At 42.1% G+C, this 13,979-nt stretch overlaps 1 protein-coding gene across 7 annotated transcripts in view; it reads left to right on the top strand.

Moving 5' to 3' along the window:
* Positions 1-13,177, top strand: part of RAPGEF5 (Rap guanine nucleotide exchange factor 5) — a 238,919-nt gene extending 225,742 nt beyond the window's left edge. For all 7 annotated transcript variants that reach the window (NM_012294.5, XM_017012837.3, XM_047421084.1 and 4 more), the window contains 3 exons: positions 312-376; positions 5,755-5,809; positions 8,892-13,177. In NM_012294.5, the coding sequence (NP_036426.4) occupies positions 312-376; positions 5,755-5,809; positions 8,892-9,007 (236 nt within the window). In that variant the 3' untranslated portion in view covers positions 9,008-13,177. The remainder of the gene's footprint in view (positions 1-311; positions 377-5,754; positions 5,810-8,891) is intronic.
* The last annotated feature ends 802 nt before the right edge of the window (positions 13,178-13,979 follow it).

The raw sequence follows: 13,979 nt of genomic DNA, 5'->3' as shown, positions 1-13,979 counted from the left end.
ATAATTAAGTTATAGACTAGCTTTAGTTTATATTAAGCAGATTGAAGTCAAACATTTCATTATGAGTGCAAAATATATACTTTCAGTAAGGTCACACTGTTTTTACACACACACATATACACACACACATAAATTATGCACTTTTACATCAAATAACACATAAATCCAATTTCAAATTGCCTCTCCAAGTGCATGGAATGATCCATAATGTTTAGGAAAAATGAATAAGTTGCATTGTACCTAGACCTCTTCAGCCCTGACTCATGATCCATTCCTAATGATACATACATCTTTTTGTTTTTAATTTTCAGATGTAACATTTATTCATGAAGGAAATAAAACTTTTTTGGATAATCTTGTCAATTTTGAAAAGCTGGTACGTAAATTTCATTACTTCTCCCTTTTTTACAGTAACAGAAATGTATGCCTTTCTTTCCTGCTCTAGGAAATAAATAGTTTTAGTACTTTTCTCCATTGGATGCATGGCGAATTCAAGGAGCTTATTTGCTTCATTCAAGGAGCTTATTTGCTGCATGTTGTACGCTGCCAACAAAATGTATTCCAATTAACAACAAGTATGTTAGCAAGGTTTTTGTGAACCAAATATGAAAATCTGCGTTTTGTTTTTAAAAATGGAATATGATAAGATGAAGAACTGAGGGTATATTATTGAACCAGAGCTAAAACTGTAAGGCTGCTGTCAGGAGGAATCCACACTCAGGAGATTATGTTTTACTGCTTTATAGGCATCTCTCAGTGTCTCAGCCTGCATGCTTTCAAGGCACAGAGGGAAAAAGTTCCTCTCCTGGGGATATATGTTTGTCTCTCAGGACTCCAAGCTTAAATGTGAGGCTGGAATTTGCAGGGTCTTGTGTGAAGGGAAGGGCCACTCCTTTATCAGCCTATGGACAAAGGGTGCCATCCCTGAGCACCACGGCCAGAGCGGCTCAGGCAAAGTACCCTCCCTCCTTACAAGCAAGAGGTTCCCAGGGCAATCCTCTCTAAATGTTTCTGAACCACTGCTTCCTGAATGATTTCCAGGGCATTCCCAGGTGCTTTGTAATACAGTGGGCCCCTCCAAGCCTTTCTGACTTGCCCTTGAGCAAAGGAGGGGTTACCCATAAGAACTGAGCAACTGTAAAATAGAAGTACTCCAAAGAGACCCACTTGCCTGCAAGAGGAATGGATTTATCTGACAGATGAACTTTAGTGTCATAGAGTAAACTGTCCTTCATGGTTAAAGACGATACCAGTAACCCTGCTCCACAGATCCTGACCTTTGAGTGACCTTTTCAGTAATGGTGATGGATTTGTGTGAACTCTTGCAGAAACTGACCCTGGTTCCCTGTGAGACTGAGTCAGGCACTTGAGAGGAGGTTAAGTGAGGCAGGGACCACAGACCATGATCAAAGAACGGTAGGAACTGATGAGTCCTGCTGAGGCTTGGCACCTGACCTTTGCCTCAGAAGTACATTGCTCTGCTTACCCAGCCAACTCCCCACATGTAGGGTGAAGCAGCTTGGGAACAGTGTAGTTGGCTCTTATACAACCCTTATACAACCCCCAAAACCCAAGCATCTGGAATATAGAATACAGTCTTGGAATATCTTGCTTTATCTCCATTTTAACCACACCGAAGACCATCACTTCACGGCTAGTGCTTTTCTAAGTGGCTCTGTCAATACATTTTCAAGTTTGTCTCTGCAGTAAGTGTTTTGGAATCAGAGCTCAGTTATTTTAGATGCTACAGTCAAACCAACAGAGCCAGAAATGGATAAAGTGTTATTTTTTTGTACGTGTTTTGTGTTGCTGTGTGATATTCTGAAGATCACAGGGCACTTAATGAAAGGCTGCAGGCACTAGAATTCTTGCCTCTAAGCAGGTTAATCCCTGTCGTTTGGGATTAATGAAACAATTGCGGGAATATGAAGCCTTTGGTCAATATTTACTTCGCTTCCTGGCCAACACATCTCCCTAAGAACAACACATGAGATTTGTGGAGCATCTGTGAAGATGTGGGATGAGGTGTGTCACGCCAAGTGGAATTCCCTGGAAAGGCCTAGTAATCCTTTCCCCTGACTAGTCCAAGGGGCCGTGGGAGAACAACTAAACTCTTTATCAGCTGGCTGTTGCCTGTTGTTGAGGGCAGACGTGAGGTTGACCTCCCTAAAGTGAACCAGTGAATTTGTTAAGTTCATTATGTCATTTCCCCCTCAGATAGTGCCACCAAAGTGACAAGATAATAAAAAAAAAACCTGAACAAGTCCATAAAGTCACAAATGGGAACAAGCTGTGGAAAGCTTGTTCCCACCTTCCTTCTGACCAGCATCTGTGGCCCTCCCCTGCTCTCTCCAGTAATCCAGCAGAAGCCTCTTAACGCCAGCTCTCAAATATGCCAAGACTGCCAACTAACCATAGGGCTGGAAATGAAGGAGGTCTAAATGATATGACTTCTATTAGGGTCAATCATCATACCCTTAATTCTTTGAGAAAGTTTAAGGGAATAGCATGGCATAAATAATATTTTAAATTCCTAAAGAGAAATTATATTTTATAAAAGAATGAAGAAATGGGTGCAGTTCAGCATGCACACAGCACTCACATAGCGCACACGCAAGCCCGTCAGGCAGGCACGGGCTCTTCATTTCCTCAGAGGGCAGGCTCCACACCTGGGACTAGTGAGCTCCTGGTCCACAGCATGCCTCATGCTGACCCCTCCTTACACAGAGTAGACAGGATAAAACTGTGTCCAGGACAAAAAGCAGTTTTATGTCATATATAGCATTGTGTTACACTTGGATGCTGGAGAATGAGACTGACCTTTCTAGGAGAAACACTATTTTCAAGGAATATTTCTTAGTAAAGGACTGGGTTTCTCTAAAGGTAAAACAGGATCATCTTTCACGATAATGAACCAATAGAACCTAAGTGAATTAACTTGTGAAAAGTCAATTCCTCATGATGGATATTAACTTAAGCCAGCTAACAGATAATTCAGTGTATTATCTTTATCTGACTGATGCAGGCCAGTACACTGAGTCAGACCCCATGAAAATCCAGAAGCCCTCATCAGGTCTAATGAGATTTCTGTTCTTTATGCTACATTCCTTGCTGCCTCAGCTACTGGAAATGTTTTCATCTCAAACTGTTTCATAAAAAGAAACAAATGGTTTCTTTTCTTCTCTTTATCCCTCGATGTTAAGAGCATCATCTTTTACCCTGTCTACCCCCTCCCCCTTTAGAAAGCCTAAAGATGAAGACCAGAACTCAGGTTTCAATGCCACACCCACTACCCAGCCTTACATCAGTTTGAGCCTTGCACAAGCTACGCAAATGGCATATGATAGAAATCAATGTGACGCCAGAGCTTAAAATGAGAAAACTGACCTGGGAAAAGTGGTAAAATCTGGGGAAGGAAACTGAACAATACATGCACAGACATGAGTCAGGTCTCATTTCCTTTACAAATGCAGCTTGAGCTACTGCAATAATCACTGTCCTATTCAATTTTCCACTATCGAATAGAAGTGCATTAGAAATACGGTTATGACAACAATTCAATCAGTAGGTCATATTCCAATAATATTTCTGTATTTCTTCTGAATTTTAAGTAAGAACATATTTTAGTGTTTAATATTCTTTCAGCAATAATTCATTGAGGGTTTGCTGTATATGGTGATCCTATGCTCAGTGTGTATAGTTGGGACATGAAAGATGTTGACCCAAATTGGAGGCCCAGATATGAATGATATTAATTCTTGAATAATAGGATGATGTTTGTATTGTGATATGAAACAAAGTAGAGAGCTACTGTTGATTCTCAAGAGAACTAGAACATGAAGACAATAGTATTTAGAGATTATTCTGGCAATTAAGCCAGCTAGCATAGCATTTTGGAAGAGAACATACTGCACTCTAGTTCCTCTTATGGCATATACGTATATGCTTCCAAAATGCTACTTCCTTCAACATGAAAAACTAAAAGTGGTAGAGACAGCTCACTCTTGCAAGTACAAAAGTATAAGATGATGGGATCTTGTCCAAAGCAGCTGTACATTTAAGAAGACTTTTGCCGGCCAGGTGGGGTGGCTGATGCCTGTAATCCCAGCCCTTTGGGAGGCCAAGGTGGGTGGATCCTGAGGTCAGGAGTTCAAGACCAGCCTGACTTGAACATGGTGAAACCCTGTCTTTACTAAAAATATAAAAATTAGCTGGGTGTGGTGGCATGCCTCTGTAATCCCAGCTACTCAGGAGGCTGAGGCAGGAGAATCACTTGAACCTGGGGAGTAGAGGGTGCAGTGAGCCGAGATCACGCCATTGCACTTCAGCCTGGGTGACAGAGTAAGACTCCATCTCAAAAAAAAAAAAAAAAGAAGACTTTTGCCTGGGAATCAGTGAGGACTTCAAGGAAAGAAATTAAATTAGAATATTGAAGACTGTACGTGAATATAAACTATGAACAGAAAATGGTCTCTAAAGATGTTGATGTTGGCCGGCCACAGTGGCTCACACCTATAATCTCAGCATTCTGGGAGGCCAATTTGGTTGGATTATCTGAGGTCAGGAGTTCGAGACCAGCCTAGCCAACATGGTGAAACCCCATCTCTACTAAAAATACAAAAATTAGCCAAAATTAGCCAGGTATGATGCATATGCCAGTAATCCCAGCTACTCAGGAGGCTGAGGCAGGAGAATTGCTTGAACTGGTGAGGCAGAGGTTGCAGTGAGCCAAGATCACACCACTGCACTCCAGCCTGGGTGACAGAGCAAGACTCCGTCTCAAAAAACAAAAAAAATGATGTTAATGTTTTAGAAAATGTTCATCTTTTGTCAGTATCTCATTTCCAGTTACAATTTAAGATACTTGAACCTTTGAATCTACAAGAATTCCTACCTCCATTCAGCACATATGTGTAAGTCAATGTGTCTGACATAGTAGGCTCTGCACATCCAAAGCCCTCTGGTGGTACTTGGTCTAAAGAAGGAGAAAAGTTCAACAGCAATGACAGTGACACAAAGCCAATAGGTGCTGTACGAAGAGCAGTGGGGATGTTGAGATTGGAGCCTCTGAGTCCAGGAGGGACATCTCAGAAAGGCTTCATGGAGAGGAGGTGACACATACCCTGAAGTGAAACACATGTGCAAATGTGAACAGGATGACTGGGGCTGGGGGTGCTGCACTTCTCTACAATGTATTTTCTCATGGCTCATAAGAACCTGTGCAACCCGGATTGGGTGCTACTGTTTTTTGTTTGTTTGTTTTTGAGACGGAGTCTCACTCTGTCACCCAGGCTGGAGTGTAGTGATGGGATCTTGGCTCACTGCACCTCCGCCTCCCAGGTTCAAGCGATTCTCCTGTCTCAGCCTCCCGAGTAGCTGGGATTACAAGCACCTGCTACAACCCCCAGCTAATTTTTTTGTATTTTTAGTAGAGATGGGGTTTCGCCATATTGGCCAGGCTGGTCTCAAACTCCTGACCTCAAGTGATCCGCCCACCTCAGCCTCCCAAAGTGCTGGGATTACAGGTGAGAGCCACCTCACCCATTCTGGTGCTACTGTTTTTGCAGATAAGGACTAAATATTCTTTGATAATCCAAGCTCCATAGAATCAAAGCTACATCCAGCTCCAAATACAGTTCTTCTCTTTATTACAGCCAAGAGTGCTAGATTATCCTTCCATCCTAGCAGGCACTGCTTCTTCAGTAACACCCTCAACGACCCTTCCATTGATGTGTTTCCTGTTCTACTTTACAGCATATGATCGCAGACACTGTCCGAACCCTGAGACACTGCAGGACTAACCAGTTTGGTGAGTAATTGAAGTCAGGTGCGGAATGTAAATTGACTCTACGTTGGTACCAACTGTGGTCACAAGTATTGGGTGGTAATCAATTTAAACAGATTGAAAAGTATCATATGTATATACATACGCATATTGTATATATATAGTAGATTGTCTCTTTGTTTCCTCACTGCATGTTGGGGATGCAGAGGAAGACAAGATATGGCAGATTATTATCCCCTCATGGCAGCAAGTTTATGCTGTGAAGAGTGACTTTACACACTCAGAAACCTCCTCCCCGCAACTCCCGCTGACTCCTGTCCCCACAGTGTCTTGCTTTGCTTGTCCATTGGCTCAAAATCACTGGTGAGTTTAGCAGGGGTGACCTTGCCCCTAACCTCTTTGCGTGGAGCCTTCCTGGAATAGGACTATAGCTTGTAAAAGTGCCTAAAGCAGCCTTCCAGAATCTTTTCTCCTCTCCAACAAAAACTTCCTGTCTGGAGCTGCCTTTCAGCTGCAAAAGTGTGGTTCTGAGCACTTTTGTAGAATCCCCACTGAGACTAATGTATGTAGGAATATTTGTTCCTTTTTAAATCTCAGCCATAATTTATACTATGTTTAAATGGTGTTAGAACATTGCAGGAAGGAAGGAAATCAACTTCATTGAGTTGAAGGAGCTTTCACATGGGCAATGGAATCCTGACATCAGTCCTAGCAAATGGGGATTATTAACCCTGTAGGTGTAGAACAAAAAGCAGAGACTCAGAGAGATTCACTTATTTAGCTATTATTCAGACTGAGTCTACCTTACCTCCTCGCCCTCTCTTTTGCCCTCTACAGATCCTGTGGATACAAAGGGTAATAAAAAATAGAAAATTGAGTTCAATAATTATAAATTAATCAAAGGCAACCACTCAGTTCAACTTCATTTTTTAAGTAAGACATGCCCATTGTAAAACAATTTTTTCAACAATATAGAAGTCTATATAAAGTAGAAAATCAGAGTCCTACTTCTCAAGAAAAGTACTGCTAACAATTGAGTACACCTGCTTAAGAATTTTTTTCTGTTCAGTGCTGGTCTAGGCTGGCAATATTGTCCCCCAACAAAGTAAGTTAGGAACTGGACTTCTGTGTGGATTATGTTTTCTCTTTGAAAAGGAGACTTATAAATACAGGACCTAATTTTCTAAATATTCACATCAATTAGTACCACTTTAATATACCTATATAATTCTTCATCAAGCATACAAGCGCAATGCAGTTACAATAAAAATAGTAATCATAACATCATCACAGAGATTCACTGAAATGTATAAGCATAATGCTGATGAGTACAGCTTCATATTGCTTTTATCCTCCTTTGCTTCCCAAGTGTTTACTGGGGATTCAGCTAATTCTAAGATATCAGTCTCACTTAACCAAGGAACTCTAGTTTATATATGCTCCAAGTATAGACAGGAAGGTGATAGTTATACTAACTTGTGTGGCCTTGAACCTGCCTTGAACCTCCCACTCATCAGAGAGCAACCCTCTGTGTGGCACTGAGCAAAGGAGAAATTTAAGTAACTATCAAGCCAGTTGATGTTCTAATATTTATATACAGTATCTTTAAAAAATTGGTTTGGGAACTGAATTATCCGAATTCATTTTAACGGTTTATATGAGCATAGTAAACCAATGTCAGCATTTGGGATAAAATATGAAAATGTTAATCAAGTCACTTATGCATTATAAAGTGTCATGCAAATGTCAGTTGCCATGGTTAGAACCATTCATTGTGCCATCTTTTTAAGGCTTGAAAATTAACATAAAATTACCTTTGTAGCATCGTGTTATCCAAACCAATGTTTAACTTTCTCGACGTCTTCCAGAGAAGGCATTCTGGAATAAAACAGCTTTTTGTTACTTTCAAACAGGTGGGATGGTATAAACTTTAACACCTAGTGTGTTTACTTGCTAAAACCAGGAAGCCTTGTTTCTATTAAACCTAAGAATTATAAGCCACCCATGTCATACAGGTCTTAAATTATTTCCTCATAAAATACATTTGTTATAGAGGAGAAAAAAGGGGGTTTCACCAAGAGAAAAAAATGCTATAAGAAAATGCTCAGCCTCCTGCATTTCCCTTCCCTCTGCTCAAACTGAGCTCCAGCAGCTCACCCTGCCTGTCCCATGCATAATCTACAAAGCAACAGGATATGATGTCTTCACCACTCACCTTTCCATTGTTTTACTGTAGTGCAGTTTGGCCAGTGTTCCCCAGCCTCAAATGGTTTGCTTGTGTGTGTGTGTGTTTGACTGTGGTGCACGGGCTTGCCTCGTGGTTCATGCTGCTTCATCCTGGTTCCTTATCAGCACGGACGCTAGCAGGGTGTGGATGTGTTCACAGTGCACTAAAGCCTCCTTTGGCCCCTCGATTCCTTGACTGCCCTAGATATGTGAGTGGAAAAGCCCCTTGTCTTGTCCTTCTCTGGGTAGACTTTAGTCCATACACATACTTTCTGAAGCTATTTCGTCTGTTAACCACATCTTAGAGTCTGTTCTGTTGTATCTGTTCATTCAGTTGCTCCATTAAATTTTTTTTTCCAAAAAATGAGAATACCAAAGAATTGTACAAAATCTAAACAACAGAAAAAGAGTGATTGCATTCATATGCTAAATACATTATCAGCGATTTTCAACGCTTCTAGACTGAGATATAGGACCCAGTGCTGGCCATTTAAACAGGTAACTGCTGTGAAAGGCTACCTAAAAGGGCTCAGGAACCATCTGTCCTGGGTCCGAATCCTGGCTGTGACAGTTAACTTGCTGCGTGACTGTGCTCAGTTTCCCCATCTGTGGAATGAGATAATAACGTAATTTCTAAATAATATACAATGTTAGGTAATAAATGCTATAAGTATCCTGCCAGTCTGATTGCCTGACCTGAGGAATCCATTCTGAGCTGAAAAAGCATTTCTACTGTAGGACAAGGACACCTCTTATGGGATTCTGACTAATGAGAACCCACCTAGTACATTTACTCAGCCTTAGTGTGGGGTTTTGTTGGTATGTAGATACAGCATTACTGCTCTCCTGAGATTGTCTTTTTTCCCCCTCTAAACAACAGGTGACCTGTCTCCAAAAGAGCATCAAGAGTTAAAGTCCTATGTTAATCACCTGTATGTCATTGACAGCCAGCAGGCTCTGTTTGAGCTCTCACACAGGATCGAGCCTCGGGTGTGAGCCCCACTGCCTCACCTCCCCTGTATCTGCAGCACTTTGAGCTACGGGAATGTCTATGCCAAGCACGTTGCTTTCCTGTGAGAAAAGAAGTTGCTGAGTTTTATCAGTATAACCCAAGACATTCACAGGAAAGCCAGCCAAAGCGTGTTCAGGAAGTGATGTCAGCCACCAGAGAGGGGGAGAGGTTTCTCCATGCTACTCTCGGGACAAGAAGGCAGAAGGAGAGTCAGAAGCATTCTTGAGATGGAGAAGGCTGGTTTCTTATGATCACATTGTTGATCCAGTCCAGTTTTCAATATGAGATGTGCCAGCATCAAGACAAGACAACGTCTTGACATGCAATGACCAAATATTTCATTAAGAGCGTGCATGAAACAGGAAGGAGTTTTTACTTTGCCTAGTTTTAGATTACTGTCCATAAGCTGTCAAAGAAGTCATTCTTTTGAACACCTGATGACAGAGACAGCATCTCTAGATCTCCAGGGAGGAGAGGTTTCTGTTGATACAACCTGTGACATCACCAAAAGCCACTTGTGTCTAGGGAGTTAGTGAGGACTGCAGCTAGCATCCATGCTCTGATGGGCAGATGAACAATGTCAAGGTGTGCATCACTTTGCACCACAATCAACTATTGACACATGCTTGCAGGTGAAATTAGTTTCTGTACAACTGATTTGCAGCTATAGGCAAGGTAGATGAAGTTGCTTTGCCAGTAAGGAAAAATAGTAATCTTTAAGAAATTGACTCATTGTTTAATTTCTGGGGATTTTCTTTATACTTCTAAGCAGGCTCTTATCTTTTATTGGACATAATATGATTTTGAAAAAGCACAGTGCCTGACACATTGCAAACACTCACCAACTGCTTGCTGAGGTGACAGAGTCACAAAAGTCTGCATTCTTGTGCCTGATGATGCATTTTGCGTACCTCATACAGGCTCCTTGCCCACACTATGGAATGACAGCAGCCAGTGCAGGGAGGTTAAGTGACATTTAATGAGTGAAGCACTTAGCACTCTCTAGGTAATAAGATAGTGGTAATTACTAGTGTTTTGGCAAATGAAAAATGCCCTGAAATAGCCAAATGTCTGATTAATGTTGGCAACTTAGAAGTCCTATAATCCAACTACCAGCCAAAGCAGGGAGCCTTTCTATAATTTGCCTTTTTTTTTTTTTTTTTCAAAATCTGAGTCTTCTAAAATCTTATTATTCCCATTTTTACCAATTGAGGCTCCTGTAGCAAATAAGACCTCTTGATATTTTCAAGGACTGGTTAGAGGATTTCTTTCAACCTTCACATGAACAAAACAGCCTATGGGTCAAAATAATGAAATCCACCCCTGCCTGCTAGATACTTGTCACCTTGCTAAAATGCAAGGGCCTGGTCCATTCATTTTCCAAATGCAGGAGTCTTGGTGCACTTCTCACTCTTCCTGCCTGTTCATCTCTTTCATGCCCACACAGACCTGTTTCCTTTTTGTCTCATCAACGCCTCATTCATCCTCATTACTGAGGCGTGTCCAATGCTTTTTGACATCTTTATAGCAGTGCTGTTTCCTGGGCTCAGGAACCACACTGAGCTTGAGATACTGCTGGAAGGAACCATGTGGAGAGAAGGTTTGGGAGAACTTTGAGAGAGACTTAGTTTGGCCCAGCATGTAAAACTTCAGTCCTGAACATTTATAGGGTTTTATAGAAGGGCATCCTCCAGGGCTGGTCCATTCAGAGAAATGCTGCATGCTGCCGTCATGGAATGTGGCCCACAGGACACCAGAGCCGTGAGAACCGGAGAGCAGACTTCCCTCACGGCTGGGCTGAGCAAACCCTCCAAAGCCCTCCTCACGCAGTTACTAACAATAGCATGGGCTTACAGCACAAGCACGTGTTCTCACCTTTTTCCTATGCCCTGGACTAAGGTTTGGCCAGTGTAATCATATAAGGCCATCCTGACATTGTTTCTGTGTTTCAAAATTTGGATTTTTATTTACATTAGAACTACATTGCTCCTAGTAGAACATTACCTTTAGGGGACTAATTTTCCATGGAGAACTATTTCAGCATATTGCATGCTGCTCAGACCCCAAGTCAGATATGCCCACCAAGCCAGATGAAGCTACACAAATGTGGTATTTAAATGCATTTTGTACAGTGACTTCAGAGTATCTCACATGACATGGGTGTAAACTGGCTGGGGAGAAAATGATGCTTGTTCACCTCTTCCTCCAGCCGTGGTTAGGTGGTCCTAGGGGTAGCAGAGGGAAGGGAGGATTTTGTGCAGTCAAGATTTGCTTTTCCATCCTTGTCTTCTGAATGTCTAAAATCTCTGCATCTTTCTGAAGTTTAACAACTGTCTCCAGAGGTTTGCCAGGCAGCAGCTCTCAGAAGTTTCCAAAGCTTTGCAGAATCTTAGATCTGGAATTAAAGAATTCAAGCCCGAATTGTGAGAACCAGATATTACTCAACAGAAAGCTCTTTCTAAGGAATCTGAGCTGTTCACTGGTGGACAGTGGTGGGGCTTGAGTGCTCCTTGTTAATAGGATGGGCCATGCACCCTCTCTGGATATTCACCAAGGCCTCTTCAGAATAGGGTTTGTTCTGGCTAGAAGCGTGGTCTAGAAGATGGCTAAGCTCTTTGCCAGCTCTCATTTGGAGTTTTATTATTGCATAAAATCTTCGCTCACTCTGCAAATCTTACGTAATCTGGCACCTTCGGCACCAGGTGGTGCAGGGGCACTTCTAAGTGGGCTCTTTTTGTTACAGCACAACTCTCAGACAGTCCTGTGGGTCTTTGGATTCGTCAGCATTCCAGCAAACTAGCCCTGCTTAGAAGTTAGCACAAGACAGCAGAATGCAGGACCCCGTAGGCAAAATCACAACCTTGCTATTAAAAAAAATTTTGTTTTACATACACATTTGCAGGTGTTCCCTAGAGTGTGGTGTTTTGAATTTGCTCTTTGTCATCTGTATAATTGCCAAATGATTATAGTGATACACATGACCTGCATTCACTTTTTTCTAGTTTCCTTAATTATGTTTAGAATAAATTCATTTCCCTAGACCGAGAACCACAAACAGGTAGTGTGGAGCATACACCGAATTTAGAAGCATGTGGATAAGGTCAGTGCTCACACTGCCTAGTCCACAGGGAGAGGATGCTGCATGAATATATACTTGCCTCTGAGTGGAGGAGAAATCGTGGCATGAAAGAGAGAGTACCAGTGATGACTTCTTATCCCTGGAGCTGGGCTTTCACTGCTACCCATATCCCAGCCCTGCGAGTCTGTTCTAGCCAGCACAGACACCGCAGATCCGGAACTGAATGTTCCTAAATGGCGCAGCCAATCCAGGCTTTTCAGAAACTGGGCAAAAACATTAAAATGGGGACGATCGGGTCTTCCGCAGTGGTCCAACACAGGATTTCTTTTAAATGTTTCAAAAACATGTCCTTAAAATTTCAGCCTGCTTCTTAGCGAGTGGGCCAGTTTTGCTTAAAACTGGTGGGGGGGCGGGGGGGAAGTTTTTAAAAATTGCCAAAAAGTTAGATGCAAATGTATTACTGTATAAAGCAAAGCTGTATATACTAAACATTTTTTAGCAGAGTAATATTTATTTGCATAGTCTATTTATTGTATTCGTATCACACTGTTATTAAATACTGGGATGAAATCAGTGACCTGAAGCAAGAAATCTTGCCTTTTAATGTATCATTAATTAGGGCTGCTGTGATATTGTCAGCTTGCATTAACAATTAGAAGATAGAGAACCCGCCATCAGGGTGTCTACCTAACTTCTCAGGGACTACACTTGGTAGTTTTCCACCATTTAAAGAACTGGTAAATATGAAACATTTGTTGAGTTACCAGAATTGCCATTAACAGTGTTTTCTTTCCCATATTCCATGCTTTCTGCCTCTGTGTATATATATAATATATATGTATATGACTGTGCTGTGTATTTATCGAAGCTAGTAAGCAATAATTTATATGTAAAAATGGCCAAGCAATATAAGGTTAAAACTTATATAAGTAACCCTTACCTTATCTTGTATTTTCAATTTTTTTTTAAAACTGCTTTTCCAAATATGAGACTATGTTAAAGACACTATTCATGCCTCTTAGTTTCTTGCTTTCTCTGTGATGTGTGTGGATTAAATAGCTCTGTTCTGGCAGCATATGATGCTCAGGGGGTTGGAACTCAGAAGTCATTTGCTCACTGAAAGAGCTACAAGTAGATGAAGAGGTTCTCAGGCAGCCCATAGAAGCCTAAATCACTTATCCTGCCATTGGGTTATTGCAGAACCTAAACACCCTATTTTGGAAATTGCATCAGTGTTCTCAGAGTCTGAAATCTGGGGAATCTGGCAACCATTGTCATTGCCTCACCCTACTTGAGCAGGACCAGGAACTGTCCCTCACCAGCCCAGATACTGAGTGCAGCTACCAGCCCAGTGGTGATGCCCGGGGCCCAGGATAGAGGTCCTGACAGCGGAAGAGCCATGAGTGGATGGAGCAGCACAGGGATAATAAGGATGCTCTGGGGCAGTGGGATGCCAGGCGGTATATACACTAGCGCAGACTGAGTGTTCAGCATCTTCTCTCTGTGTAAACAGGAAATTTGTACATCTTGCCCATCGAGGTCAAGTTTGGCCTTTGGCATGTGTCCATCTCCCCCTTGCAGGGGGATTATAAACCTCACCTTCTTGAACCCAGGAGTGGCCCAGTGTCTTGCTCTGTCCAGTGAAAAATGGGGAGACATGTCTGTGGAAGCTTTATGAGGTAGCCTGCACCTGCCATGCCTGCTGTGCTGTGAGACCTGCCCTGCTCCAGATGAAGGCACCCCTGTCAGCCTGGGTCCTGGATCACAGGAAACATGGAGCAGAGTCCTGGCTTGTGAACGACGTCTAACTTGAGTGAGAAATCAGACATCATCACTAGAAGTCTCTGAGGTCTGGTAGTGGTTTCTTACTCAGCAGA

This window comes from Homo sapiens, chromosome 7 (assembly GCF_000001405.40).
Source record: "Homo sapiens chromosome 7, GRCh38.p14 Primary Assembly".
Classification (NCBI taxonomy): Eukaryota; Metazoa; Chordata; class Mammalia; order Primates; family Hominidae; genus Homo; species Homo sapiens.
Note: the sequence above shows the minus strand (reverse complement) of the source record. Positions and strands in the feature narration are given on the sequence as shown.